This window comes from Homo sapiens, chromosome 4 (assembly GCF_000001405.40).
Source record: "Homo sapiens chromosome 4, GRCh38.p14 Primary Assembly".
NCBI lineage: Eukaryota > Metazoa > Chordata > Mammalia > Primates > Hominidae > Homo > Homo sapiens.
In genome coordinates, this window is record NC_000004.12 from 158,551,414 (window position 1) to 158,565,008 (window position 13,595).

Here is a 13,595-nt window from a genome sequence, read left to right on the forward strand (position 1 = left end):
TCCAGAGATCTGTCGTACAGCATGGTGACTATAGTTAGTAATAATGTGTTGTACACTTAAAAATTGCTAAGAGAGTAGATTTTAAATGTTCTCACCACAAAAAAATGCTAGCATATAAGATGATGATTATGTTAATTGGTTTGATTTAATCATTTCACAATGTATACATATATCAAAAAACCACATTGTACACCATAAATATGTACAACTTTTATTTCTCAATTAAAAATAAATAAATAAATATAGGCTGGGCACTGTGGCTCATGCCTGTAATCCCAGCACTTTGAGCGGCCGAGGTGAAAGTATGCTTGATCCCAGGAATTCGAGACCAGCCTGGGCAACATAGTGAAACCCTGTCTCTACAAAAAATATAAAAATTTATCCAGGTATGGTGGCATGTGCCTGTAGTCCCAGCTACTCAGGAGGCTGAGGTAGGAGGATTGCTTGAGCCCAGGAGGTCAAGGCTGCAGTGAGCCGAGATCACACACTGGTTACTCCAGCCTGGGTGACACAGTGAGACCTTGTTACAAAAATAAATAAAAATAAAGAAATTTTTAAAAAATAAAGACCCACTCAAAAAACAGAAAAGTATATTGAGACCAGTTGGGGACACTTTGACAATAAGGCTGAAGTGTCACAAAGGAAGTTATTAAAAATGTGTTATCTAGATGTGAATACAGATTAGAATCACAGTTGAGGCAGTAGGAATGGAAATAAGGTGTGAAATGGAAATGCTGTTAAGAAGAAATACAACTGCCCTTAATTTAGGATTTTTATTTCTTGGCTGCACTACCAGCATAAATCAATAAAACTGACTGTTACCACACCAGTAAGTAGGAATAAAATGTGATAGTTGGATAGTCAAGAAAAGAGTTTTGTCATAATTTGAGACAGATGCTAGAAATGTATAAGTACAAAATCCGTGGCTAGAAATGTATAAATATGAAACCTCAGCCACTTTATGTGTTGGGAAATATGTGCATTTATTCAATAAATGCTTACTGAATGTGAACTCGTGATTATGACATCTCACTCATCTGAGAATTACTTATCCTAGACCCTCAAAAACTTTGATTCTTCAAAACCTAGGCATTAAAAAAAAGAAAAACATCTCGTCTTGTTTTAGGCCCTCATTCAGAGCTTATTTGCTTACTTTCACATAGAAATGTAATATGTCCAAGTAGCCGTGTTTTTGGCCACAGCAGGTTCAAGTTACAAAATAGAAATGGGAATTAGAATAGTGAGACTACAGAGGCAGACAAATTAATGATAGTAGAAGTGACAGCTGGTAGAAAATTGTAATGAAAACTATAAAAAGTTGGCAAGAGTCTGTGATAAATTTTTAGGACAAAAATGCCCTCAAAGGGCCCTACAGGTATCACCGTATTGTTCAATATGGGAACCCCAGTTTACAACTAGAGGTTAATGTTATGTTCAACAGATTTCCAAAACTTCAAAAGTAAAGCTAAACACAAAAATTATATCAGATGGCTAGGTGCTATGGCTCACATCTGTATTCCCAGCACACTGGGAGGCTGAAGCAGGAGGATCACTTGAACCCAGGAGTTTGAGACCAGCCTAGACAACATAGCAAGACCCTGCCTCTACAAAAATAAAAATTAAAAAATAGCCATAAGTGGTGGAATGATGCTGAAGTCCCAGCTGCTTGGGAGGCTGGGGTGGGAGGATCACCTGAGCCCAGGGGTTTGAGGCTGCAGTGAGCTCTGATCATGCCACTGCACTCCAGCCTGGACAATAGAGCAAGATCCTTTCTCTTAAAAAATAACAATATCAGAGACACCAGTATGGAAATTTTTTGACAAGTTTTGTTAAAAAGGAGAGATAAGAAATGGCGATATAAGTGGATAATTGATAATTGAATCAATAAAATATTTTTGTTTTATTTTGTCCTGTTTTAAGAAGGGATACACAACAGCATGTTTTCAGGGGCTAAGCCAGAAAAAGAGGTAAACATTGATGATGCTTAAGAGAGAAATGGAGAATTGCTAAAATGTGTCCTGAGTAGGAGAGAGGGGATGGAACTGGAAGCTCAGGTGAAGGACTGACACGGGACAGAGGCAAAGACAGCTCATCCATAACAACAGCAAGGAAGCAGAGACAGGAGGGTGACCCGTGGAGAGATGCACTGTGGGGATTTGTGCAGGTACGGGGTAGGCCACCTTCTGGAATGTCTTATTATCTACTTTCAGACAAGTTAGGTCAGAGGATTTCTTTATGGCTAGCTCTTACACAGAAAGGCAGGGGAAGGTTAGAGTCATATTTCTAGGTTTTATGACTGATTTAGGGGGAAAGGGATTCTAGTTTCTATGGCCTGCCTTGGGGGAAGAAGTGGAACAGGAGAAAAAAGGGCAGGAGAAGGCCAGAGAGAGACTTTACTTCTGAGCCCCTTCTAATGTCCTCCAGTTCAAAGTACTCAGCATGCTAAAGTGCCATACTTTGGGATATCGCTTTCTAAGCCCGAAAAATGGCATTGAATGGTTTCCTACTGATTATTCGCCAATGCTTTGTTCGGGGTTTTTCATCCTGGGCACCGCTGACATTTTTGGACAGATAAATCTTTGTTTGGGGGAACTGCCCTGTGCATTGAAGAATTCTTAGCAGCATCCTTGCACTCTACCTACTAGATGCCAGTAGCAACCCCCAAGTTGTGACAATCAAAAATGTCTCCAAACATTGCCAAATGTCCCCTGGGTCCAAAATAATCCCCAATTAAGAACCACTAGCTTAGTCCCACCTTGTTACAAAATATCTAGAGAAAACTAATATTACAATTCAATGATTTTTTCTCTATAGCTAAGAAACCGTATTTTTACACTCTTGAATTATCTGTAAATAACGTCAGAGTTTTTTTTTATTATTAAAAGAATACTCACTCTTTAAAAGCAAGTCAAATTTTTCCTAAGTATATAAACTGAAAAGTAAAATCCCCACTTTCTTCTGCCATTTTTGGTCCAAATTCCCAAAGACGACCACTGCTAGCAGTTTCATGTTAACATACCATAATTTTATAAACACAAGCATATATGTCTTTTATCTTATACAAATAAAAGCAAACTATATATTTTTCAACATACTTTGTAACTTAATGATATGCCTTGAACAACTTATTATATCAGTGGATATAGATCTACTTCATTTTTTCAAATTGTTTAACTGGTTTTCAAATTGTGTTTGTGTGTGGTTTCCTTTTTTGTTTTCTTTTGTGTTTTGTTGTTTAATTTTACTTCCTAACCAGACATTTTAGCAAATTATTTACACACTTTTGAGACTGGGGGCAATGATGTAAAAAAAAAAAATAGGTGTATTGAATATTTTTCATGGATCGTAAAAGGACTTCAAATGCTGGAAATAAGTCATAGAGTATAATTAAACTCTTAGTGCTTGAAAAAGTCATAGCTGTGCGGAAACATTATAAACATTTTAAGTAGAAATGATAGATATTTTAATCTGCTCCGCTATTGTAACCATGTCACTAGCTATATGTATCTCATAATATCATGTTGTAAAGCTTAAATAAACACAATACTTTAAAAAAATAAAGTAAATCTGATGCTTGGCAGAAAATATTTTAATTAATTTATCAATTACACTCTTACTTTATTTTAAATTTAAGTAAACAAAACTACCTTTAATGCAGTGACTGCATTGATTTCAGAGCAATGATATTAAAATTTTCCATATTAACATTTAATGTTGTTACAGAATGGGGGTTATAATTTTACTGAGTTATTGTTTACATGAGTTCCCTAGATACAAATTGTAAGTATTTTTGCATTTCTGTCAAAAATCTGTAAGAGAGTAAAAAACTTAGTTTATTCCACTCCAATAAGTCACTAAGAACTTAGTTCCCAAGAAATGTGTATTGAAACGCTTAAGGTTTTAGTTCTGAGACAGGAATTCATGATTTGAATATAACTCAGGTAAAATTATGTTTCCTCCCAAAAATGATAACCAGCCGTAGCATAGTCACCTTACTGTATGAAAAGGGTGCAATTTACTCAAAAGCACATTATAAAAATATTTCCCTGTACTTGCTCTCTGGCTTTGGTCTTTGAATTACATTGGGACCCAAATAATGTCAAAGAGAAAGGTGCAATAGCCGCACACAGGTTACAGCATTTTTTCCTTCTCTGTGCACCACTCACACAGACCCCACGAAATGCATACAATGCACACAATTTTATGGTCATAGGAGAATGATTCATTCTTAGAAAAAAGATTCCACTGATATCCACTCAATACTTGTGTCTCACTTGGCAATTGGCATACGTGACTGTTCCTCTATTTTTCCATCTACCTAATTTCAAAGGATTTCCAGAAGGAAAAGAAGATTTAAATGCTTCATTTCAAATATTTCTGAGTTTTGACAAAGGTGCCAAGACCACACATTGGAGAAAATACAGTCTTTTCAATAAATGGTTCTGGGAAAATAAAATATCCACATGTAGAAGAATGAGATTACACCCCTCCCTCTTGCAATATACAAAAACCAACTCAAAATGAATTCAAGACTTAAATGTAAGATGCAAAACTATGAAACTACTAGAAGAAAACATAAGGGGAATACTTCACCACATTGGGCTTGGCAAAGATTTTTTAAATAACACCTCTTAAATACAGGCAACAAAAGCAAAAATAGACAAATGGATTATATCAAACTGAAAAGTTTTTGCACAGCAAAGGAAACTATTAACAGAGTGAAAAGACAACCTACAGAAAGGGAGAAAATATTTGCAAACTGTACATTTGACAAGGAGTTGATATCCAAAATACATAAGAAACTTAACAGCAAAAAAAAAAAAAAAAATTGAAAAATGGACAAAAGACCTTAATGGATGTTTCTCAAAGAAAGACCTACAAATGGCCAACAGATATATGAAAAAATACTCAACATCACTAATTATCAGGGAAATGCAAATCAAACCACAATGAGATATCATCTCACTCCAGTTAGAATGGCTATTATCAAAAAACCAGAAGAAAACTAGTATTGGCGAGGATGTGGAGAAATGGGAACCCTTACACACTGCTGGTAGGAAATTAGTGCAGCCATTATGGAAAACTATGGAGATTCCTCAAAACATTAAAAATGAAACTACCATATGATCCAGCAATCCTACTCCTGGGTATATATTCAAAGGAAATAAAATCAGTATGTTGAAGAGATATCTGCACTCTTATATTTACTGCAGCACCATTTGCAATAACCAGGGTGAGGAATCAACCTAAGTCTCAGACAACAGAATAATGGATAAAAGAAAATGTGGTATATGCATATAAAGATATACAGTTCAGCCACACATATATTCAGCCATAAAAAAGAATTAAATCTTATCATTTGTGACAACATGGATGAACCTAGTGGACATTATGATAAGTAAAATAAGCCAGACACAGAAAGACAAATTCTGCATGATCGCATTCATATGTGAAATATTTTAAAAAGGTGATACCATAATATCATAGATACAGAGTAGAACAGTGGTGACCAGAGCAGAGAGAAGGATGGGGAGAAGTTGGTCAAAGGATACAAAGTTACAATTACATAGAAGGAATAAATTATAGTGTTCTATTACACAGTAGAGTGACTATGGTTAACAGTAAATTATTATACATTATGAAATAGCCAGAAGAGAGGCTTTTGAATGTTCTCACCACAAAGAAATGATAAATACATGAGATGATGGATACACTAACTACCCTAATTGAATCATTGTATAACATAGATATATATGGAAAAATCAAATTGTATCCTTAAAATATGTATAATTACAATATGTATGTATCAATTTTTAAAGTAAATAATTTTTCAGTATTTCTGCTGTTGGGATTTAAATGTTTAAGCATGTTTCCAAGTTGCTCTCAAATTTTTAACTAATAATTTAGGTTTGTATGTGTTGGAGTAGTTTTTCAGTTAGGAAATTTTTTTAATTGATAAATTCCTTAAAGTATCAGTTTGTTTGTTTGTTTAGAGACAGAGTCTCTTCTGTCACCTAAGTTGGAGTAGTTTTTCAGTTAGAAAATTTTTTAATTAATTGATAAATTCCTTTAAGTATGAGTGTATTTGTTTGTTTGGAGGCAGGGTCTCCTCTGTCACCTAGGCTGGAGGGCAGTAGTGCAGTTGTGACCATCAGAGTTCACTGCAGCCTCAAATTCCTGGGCTCCAAGGAATCCTCCAGCCTCAGACTCCCAAAGCTGGGCTTACAGGCGTAAGCCACTGCGCCCAACCTATGAATGGTTTTTACACAAGATGAGAATATTCAAATTAAAAACTGTAATTCAAAAAAAGTCTAATTTTAAGTATCACTAAAAGCGAGATGCATTTATATCCACATTAAGTGTTAAGTTAATCCATGCTAAAAGAGCCAAATGCCTCATCATTGTCATGGAGTCACCTTCACTGACTCCACTGCTTCACTGGAGCTCCAGTAGGTGTTTCAATTCCATTCTGAGTTTCTTTTGCTACTCGATCTCTGTTAAAATTATTAATGTCCTGCTCCCAGTGCCTTAGAAACTCCTAGTGCATAGATATATTCAGATATATTAAATATTTCATTGATTTGATCAGAAAGCCTTCAAAACATCTTGAGAAATATATCTACTAAGCCACACATTTTTCCTACAAGGTAAGCCTACTAATACCTGCATTACATACCATTTTGTTAAACTTTTCTATCTCACCTGTTTGTTCTTGATCTGAGAAGGAACTTGTTCTCACCTTTAGGAGTAAATAAGTTTACTTTTTAAATAAGCAGGAAAAATTATTCAAATGAAGCCATCACCTTCCTCATTGGTGTCCTCATTCTGTGTGCTCTAATGCTTGGTGCATACATTTGCAAATGCACACACAGCCGGGAGGAACACAGAAACAGTGGCAGGTAGTTGCTTCCTCCAATTAAACTTCATATCAGCAAATCATTGAGCCTTCCTTATTCATAGCCAAACAACACACAGTCATCTAAACAGAGATTCTCAGTAGAGAGTAGCCTATTGGAATTGAGCAATGGGTAGAGTAGGGCACATGTGGTTTGGCATAGCATATTCAATATTTTAATATAAATATATGTTTGGGAAAACCATTCCTCATTCTTTCCTTAATAACTACAAAAAAATAAAGCTGAACCAAATGTTCTTGGTTGGTGGGGAGCCACAAAAGATATATAGTCTTAAGCAAGGTATATATTCACCCCTATGAGAAATATATCAAAACCTTAGGGAAGTTGTATAAAATACATTTGATAATCAAAACTTAACATAGATTTTGAAGGCCTGAGAAATCCTGAATTGATATAAATTCTAAACGAGGCTGCTGCTGGTCATGTATAGAAAAAATAGCTTTTGGGTACAGAAAAGCTGTAGACATGAAAGAGTGTAATTGAAGAAGCAAGCTAAGTGATCAGTATTTTTAAAACTACTCAGTACATTCAAATAATATATTTATTATAGAATCAATCAACAATACAACCAAATATGAACACAAAAATTTTAAGTGACAGCTGTCGTAATATTAGCCTCAACAGATTTTGAAATCTCACTCTTCATTTAAACAAAGCTGGAAAGATGCTTATTCAAGATCTGTGTTTACAAAAAAAGGTTAATCTGGTTGCATAAGTTAAAATGTTGACCACTTACACTGTGTTAAAATTTTTACATATTTAACAAAGTTATATGTGCCTTTACTATCATATTTTTAGTTTGAAATGTATTTTGAAAAATAAAATTCTGGCTGGGCACAGTGGCTAGGGCCTGTAGTCCCAGCACTTTGGGAGAACAAGGCAGGAGGATTGCTTAAGGCCAGGAGTTAGAGGCTGCAGTGAGCTATGATCATGCCACTGCACTCCAGCCTGGGCAACAGCAAGACCCTTTCTCCAAAAAAATAAAAATAAAATTCTAGTCAAAGACTTGCAAAAACTGATGTACCTTCCTGAAACCCTAATTTTATTCAACCATGTTTAATACCATTAGATGAATGTAACCACTTATTTTCCAGATGATGAAACTTAAGCTCAAAAAATTTACTGAAGGTCACAGATCTAGAAAGGTGACAAATAAAGGCTAGACCCCCCTGCCCCGCTGCATTGATTCCCAATACTGAGCTTTTTTCCCCTATACCAGGAATAGATGTGATTTAAAAAATTTTTTCATATACCTATTACTTATCCAATATTAAGACAAGCATCCGTGAGTTATAATTTTATGGTTGATGTATTTACGACAAAAAAGCCACTTTTTTCTACTTTAATGTGAAGCACAAGATGGTATCACGCAAACTAGGAAGGTAGAAATTCTTCATAGAATTGCAGTTGTCTTTTCAATGGCAAATTGGTATCTTTACACAATTCTACAATAATTTTTCTGTTAAGTACTTCTGACTGTTGCACTGATATTAGTGAATTTCCATAAGCTTGATAGGTGAAATCAAACTATTTAACCTTAGGTCAGAGAAACATCAGAACTATGAATATACATTCATGTAACACCAAGTTATAAAATGTTTACAAGTTATTTTACTCAGTAAGGACTTCTTTCCCAAAGAGTAAAGACAACTTCTATTCTCCTATTCCAGGAAAGTTTACATAATGTCTGCAGGAAGAAAAAGGATGGAAAGCTTTCCTCTGGCTTTTTCTCCTTCAGCTGCATGGATGTGACTAACCCAGGTAGCTGCAGGTAATGAAGCTGGCAGGCTGCCTGAGACCATCCTATTACACTGAGCACATCACATAAAGTATTGTCTACATATCAGTCCCAACAATATCTCCACACCGTAAGCCATCTTTTTACTTCCCAGACATTTCTCTTGGGGCTTCCAGTAGACTGAGTCCCAGAGAAAGATTTGATAGCTCAGGGATGATTTTTTTCCCAATCAGCCCAACAGGGACCACTCATCCCACCAAGCCTGAAGGCATTTGTATGGCAGTTCACACCTGAGGCTCAGATAGCATGGACTCCTTCTATTGCTGTCCCTACATGCCCCATCAGTCTTTCACTTACTCCTTCAATCACCCTTTCAAGTAAATTGCCAACATGAGCTTTTTCATGTCTGGAATGACTCTGCAGAAAGGACACTTCGGAGTTTCTCGATGTATCAGTTAGGAATTCACTTTCTTGCAACAAAAGAAAACCTGACCCGGCATGGCCTAAACAAAGAAGCGTTTATTTTTCTCACCTAAAGAGGAGTCTGAGTAGCCTGATGATTCCCGGGTTGGCATTTTGTAGGTATCTGTGGGTTTCCTTGGTCTTGCCAGCACGTGTGTTGCCTCATAGATGCAAAACTGTTGCTGCAGTTTCACACGATCATCCCATCATGTTCAAGGCAGAAAGAAAGTGGAAGACAACAGCCCCATCCATCTCTTGTGTCAAGAAAGCTAGCACCTCCAGGACTTCCTCAGCAGATGTCTGCCCACGTCTCACTGGTCGGAACTGTGCCCCTTAGACACCAAGAAGCCGGCCAGCTGGGAAAGAAAGTATTTTGCTTTCCAACTTCTTTAACGGAAGGGCAGCAAGAGAGAAGGGTTTTGGGAATCACTGTTGAATCAACAAACGAACAGTGTTTATTATACTTGGGTTTAAAATTAATAATGCATTTATTATAGTAACAAATTCAAAAACCGTGTTTGCCTTCAGCCTTTAACTTCAATTTACAAACCTATTTTCTACTTATAAATCTTGTAAAATAAAACCAATCTCCTTCACTTTTTAGTTTATAAATGTTTAACTCAAGTTGAAAAAATTGAACTTAACCAGTCTCATTCAAGACAAAGAATAATGAACTGTTTTAAACAGCATCTTAAATGTAATGATTAATTTTATTTGAAATACAAGTGGATTATCCCTAATCTGAAATTTTGAAATCCGAAATGTTTCAAACTCTGAAACTTCTTGAGCACTCACAAGATGCCACAGTGGAAAATTCCACACCTGACCTAATGTAATTGGTTGCAGCCAAAATGCAGTCAAAATTGTTTCATGCATAAAATCATTTTAATATTGTATAAACTTACTATCAGGCCATGTGTATAAAGTATATATGAAACAAATAAATTTTGTGTTTAGATTTGGATTTCATTTTCCAAAATATCTGAGAATGCATTTGCAAATATTCCAAAATCTGAAAAAATCTGAAATCTAAAACTCTTATGTTTCCAAGCATTTTGAATAAGAAATACACAATCTGTATTTTTTTCTTTTTTTCTTTTTTTTTTTTTTTTTTTGAGACAGAGTCTCACTCTGTCACCCAGGCTGGAGTGCAGTGGTGTGATCTCGTCTGACTGCAACCTCCACCTCCCGGGTTCAAGTGATTCTTGTGCATCAGTCTCCTGAGTAGCCAGGATTACAGGCGTGTGCTACCATGCTCGGCTAATTTTTGTATTATTAGTAGGGACAGGGTTTCACCATGTTGGCCAGGCTGGTCTAGAACTCCTGACCTCAAGTGATCTGCCCACATCGGCCTCCCAAAGTGCTGGGATTACAGGTGTGAGCCACTGCACCCGGCCTCAACCTGTATTTTAAATGCATGCTTAAAAACTTTAGAAAATCCAATAAAACGTATTTTAAATATAGTAAATGTCAAGTTACCTTAAATAGTCCAGTGCTGCTTATACACTTAAATTCTCTTACAACGTAAAATCACAAGTTTGAACTTAATTGCCTGTTTTAAGTTGAAATTAGTAGGTTCATCTGTTATTCCTTAATTGCCTAATTCTCTTAATCATAAAAAACACTCCAACCCCCCAATAAACACGGGTTATTCTCACATTAAAATATAATGCCAACACTATACATTTGATTAATTTTATTGTCTCTATATTCTAAAATTTATCACAGTTTAAAATACACATATTTCACTTTGGGAGGCCGAGGCGGGCGGATCACGAGGTCAGGAGATCGAGACCATCCCGGCTAAAACGGTGAAACCCCGTCTCTACTAAAAATACAAAAAATTAGCCGGGCGTAGTGGCGGGCGCCTGTAGTCCCAGCTACTTGGGAGGCTGAGGCAGGAGAATGGCGTGAACCCGGGAGGCGGAGCTTGCAGTGAGCCGAGATCCCGCCACTGCACTCCAGCCTGGGCGACAGAGCGAGACTCCGTCTCAAAAAAAAAAAAAAAAAAAAAAAAAAAATACACATATTTATTAAGGGGAGAATTTTATCATAACAGATCAACAAGAGTTTCATCTCAAACAAGCTGAGGTTACTTTTGAGCCAACAATTTTTTTTACCAGGATATATATCTTGAGTTTCCTATAACTGGGATGATTCCACCTGAAGCTTTTGTTAAAGGAACCCCGAGTGCACACCCATCCGGGGCAGTTGATCTTAAAGTACACATCCCCTGTGTTCAAGTTTCCCAGAGGAAACACTTTTTCTTTGCCCTTATGCTCAAGGACTGGGAACCTGCAAATTAAACCAACAAGAGGCTGATTTGTATGCATATGGCAGCTAACTAAAGTAATAGCTAGCTTGCCAAACAGTTAAAGTTAGAGGCTAATATTCCTAAGTAGGGGAAAGGGAGAGGAAGAAAAGCCTTCCATGGGAAGAAAATCATTTCTTTAGGAAGGACAAGGGGATTTTTAGAAGAAAAAACAGGAGATAAAGTTTGTGATGATGTTTCTTTATGCAGGCGCATGTAGCCTATCCATCCTTTAAGGATATGAGTTTCCCCAGGGAAGGGATTTATGACAGGTTTACTGTCAGTCTCTTTCCTGGGAGTAGACTCACCCAAAAGAGGGAATTTAGGGAAGGATTATTTCCCAGAAGTTTCAGATTTTAGTCAGATAAGGGAAACTCTGAGAAAGCTTCTTTCTGCATCTGGCATCTGTTGATTCTCAAATGTCTTCACCTTAAAATGATCTTTGTACCAACTCTGGGGTTCTGAGTGGGTCCCCACACCTGTTAAAAGATAATTTAAAAAGAAGTAGAAGTGAAAGGAGAAGGAAGATGAGGTAAAATCATGATATTCATATAAATATAAAATAAAAATGTCTCAAAGACCTCAAAGACTTTAATTCATTTACTAATGAGGGAACCAGTAAGATGTTACAAATAATTCAAAGGAGAATTCAATGCACACACACACACACACACACACACACACACACACACACACCCCAACAGGAATACTGAAATAAATCTGATTAACACATGCAAAAGAGACCAATAATCTATGGGGCAATAATCAATGTATCTCACAATCTGCATCTATCTGTCACATATAATCTGCATTTCTATCAACAATAAATCATTTGCGTTACTATAAGTATTCTACAACTTACAGAGTTGTAACATATACTCATAAAACATTTCAGTTAGCAATGGAACAGACCCTGTATATGACAGCGATCCCATAAGATTACAATGGAGCCAAAAAATTCCTATCACCTAGTGACATTGTAGCCATTATAACATTATAATGTTATAACATTATATTATATAATGTTATATATAATATAATGTTACATATTATATAACATATTATATATATAACATAACATAATATATAATGTATAACATGTTATATATAAATGTTATAATATATAACATATGTATATATAAAACATAATTATATACTGTTATAACATTATAAAAGCACAATTACTTTAAAAAAAACTTAATGTAAGGTCTGATCTTAGAAATTTTGTTATTGGGCTACCCAATTTACAGCCTTTAGGAGTCATAAATATGACAATTCCAACACTAAACTATTCAAAAGTTGGCATTCCAGCCATACCTGAAGGACCCTATTCAATGCAACTGGTGATCGTTCACATTCCCATAACAATATGTTTTCATATTTTACCCCATATCCTGACAGTTCCACATGTAGAGATATTTTGGAAAAGCTACCAGGGTACAGGGGTGGGGGACATTTTTAAATTGTTATATACAATCCCTACTGTCTTATAAGCAGATCTAAACACCTACCTGTGGTTATACAAATATTTGGAAGAAGACTAAATTACTCTGCATGAGAAATAAATAAAAGATACAGGAGCTGAGGGCAGATCCAAACCTTGAGAACAGTGGCAGCCAGGGAGGCTGGAAACTCAGTGCTGGAAAAGCTGAATCCTTTTCATCCTCCAAGCCAGAGAGACTCCATGACAACTGTCAGTCTAAAGAGGATAGTTAAGATAATTTGTACTGAAATATAAACTCTGTTGTCTCTCACCCTCTCAAAATTGTCAACCACTTAAAAAAAATTGTGAACCACTGAAATATTTAGGCTGGTTCAGGACTAAAACAGCATTCAGGGCAGATGGATAGCTGGGTTACACAACGAGAGCATGTTTACTTGCTCTTCTAGGAACTATTACTTCTGTAACTCTTTGGGCATACTTTTCCAGAGGGACTCAATATCATTTTTTCTATTGATTTGTGTTATTGCACTGTGAATTATTGCTGTTCTTAAAGATATGGTTCCATGCTAAAAAGGAAATGCTTTTTGTTTTTTACTTTCCCAACGTTTCCCTATAAACATCACTTACTGGCCCCTTGCCTTTCTACTTCTGTTCCTAAACAATTGAGTTCTAAAGCCATTTGGTGGATCAGAAGGAGGTATTTTTCTGTGTTGAGTGTGACAG

The 13,595-nt window shown here is 36.1% G+C and overlaps 1 protein-coding gene and 1 long non-coding RNA gene across 24 annotated transcripts in view; one reads left to right on the forward strand and one right to left on the reverse strand.

Annotated features, from left to right (window-relative positions):
* The window catches only part of RXFP1-AS1 (RXFP1 antisense RNA 1), a 75,659-nt gene extending 62,403 nt beyond the window's left edge, over positions 1–13,256 (reverse strand). Inside the window, exons 1-3 of the long non-coding RNA XR_007058351.1 lie at positions 13,028–13,256; positions 11,737–11,907; positions 9,188–9,546 (exon numbers count right to left, since the gene is read on the reverse strand). This is a non-coding gene — a long non-coding RNA (RXFP1 antisense RNA 1). The remainder of the gene's footprint in view (positions 1–9,187; positions 9,547–11,736; positions 11,908–13,027) is intronic.
* RXFP1 (relaxin family peptide receptor 1) overlaps positions 1–13,595 on the forward strand; it is a 131,659-nt gene that overhangs the window by 29,700 nt on the left and 88,364 nt on the right. Inside the window, exon 2 of one of the 23 annotated variants that reach the window (NM_001363776.1) lies at positions 8,588–8,688. The exons of the other annotated variants lie outside the window; for them this stretch is intronic. The gene's annotated coding sequence lies outside the window, so the exon portion shown is untranslated. The remainder of the gene's footprint in view (positions 1–8,587; positions 8,689–13,595) is intronic. 23 annotated transcript variants of the gene reach the window in all.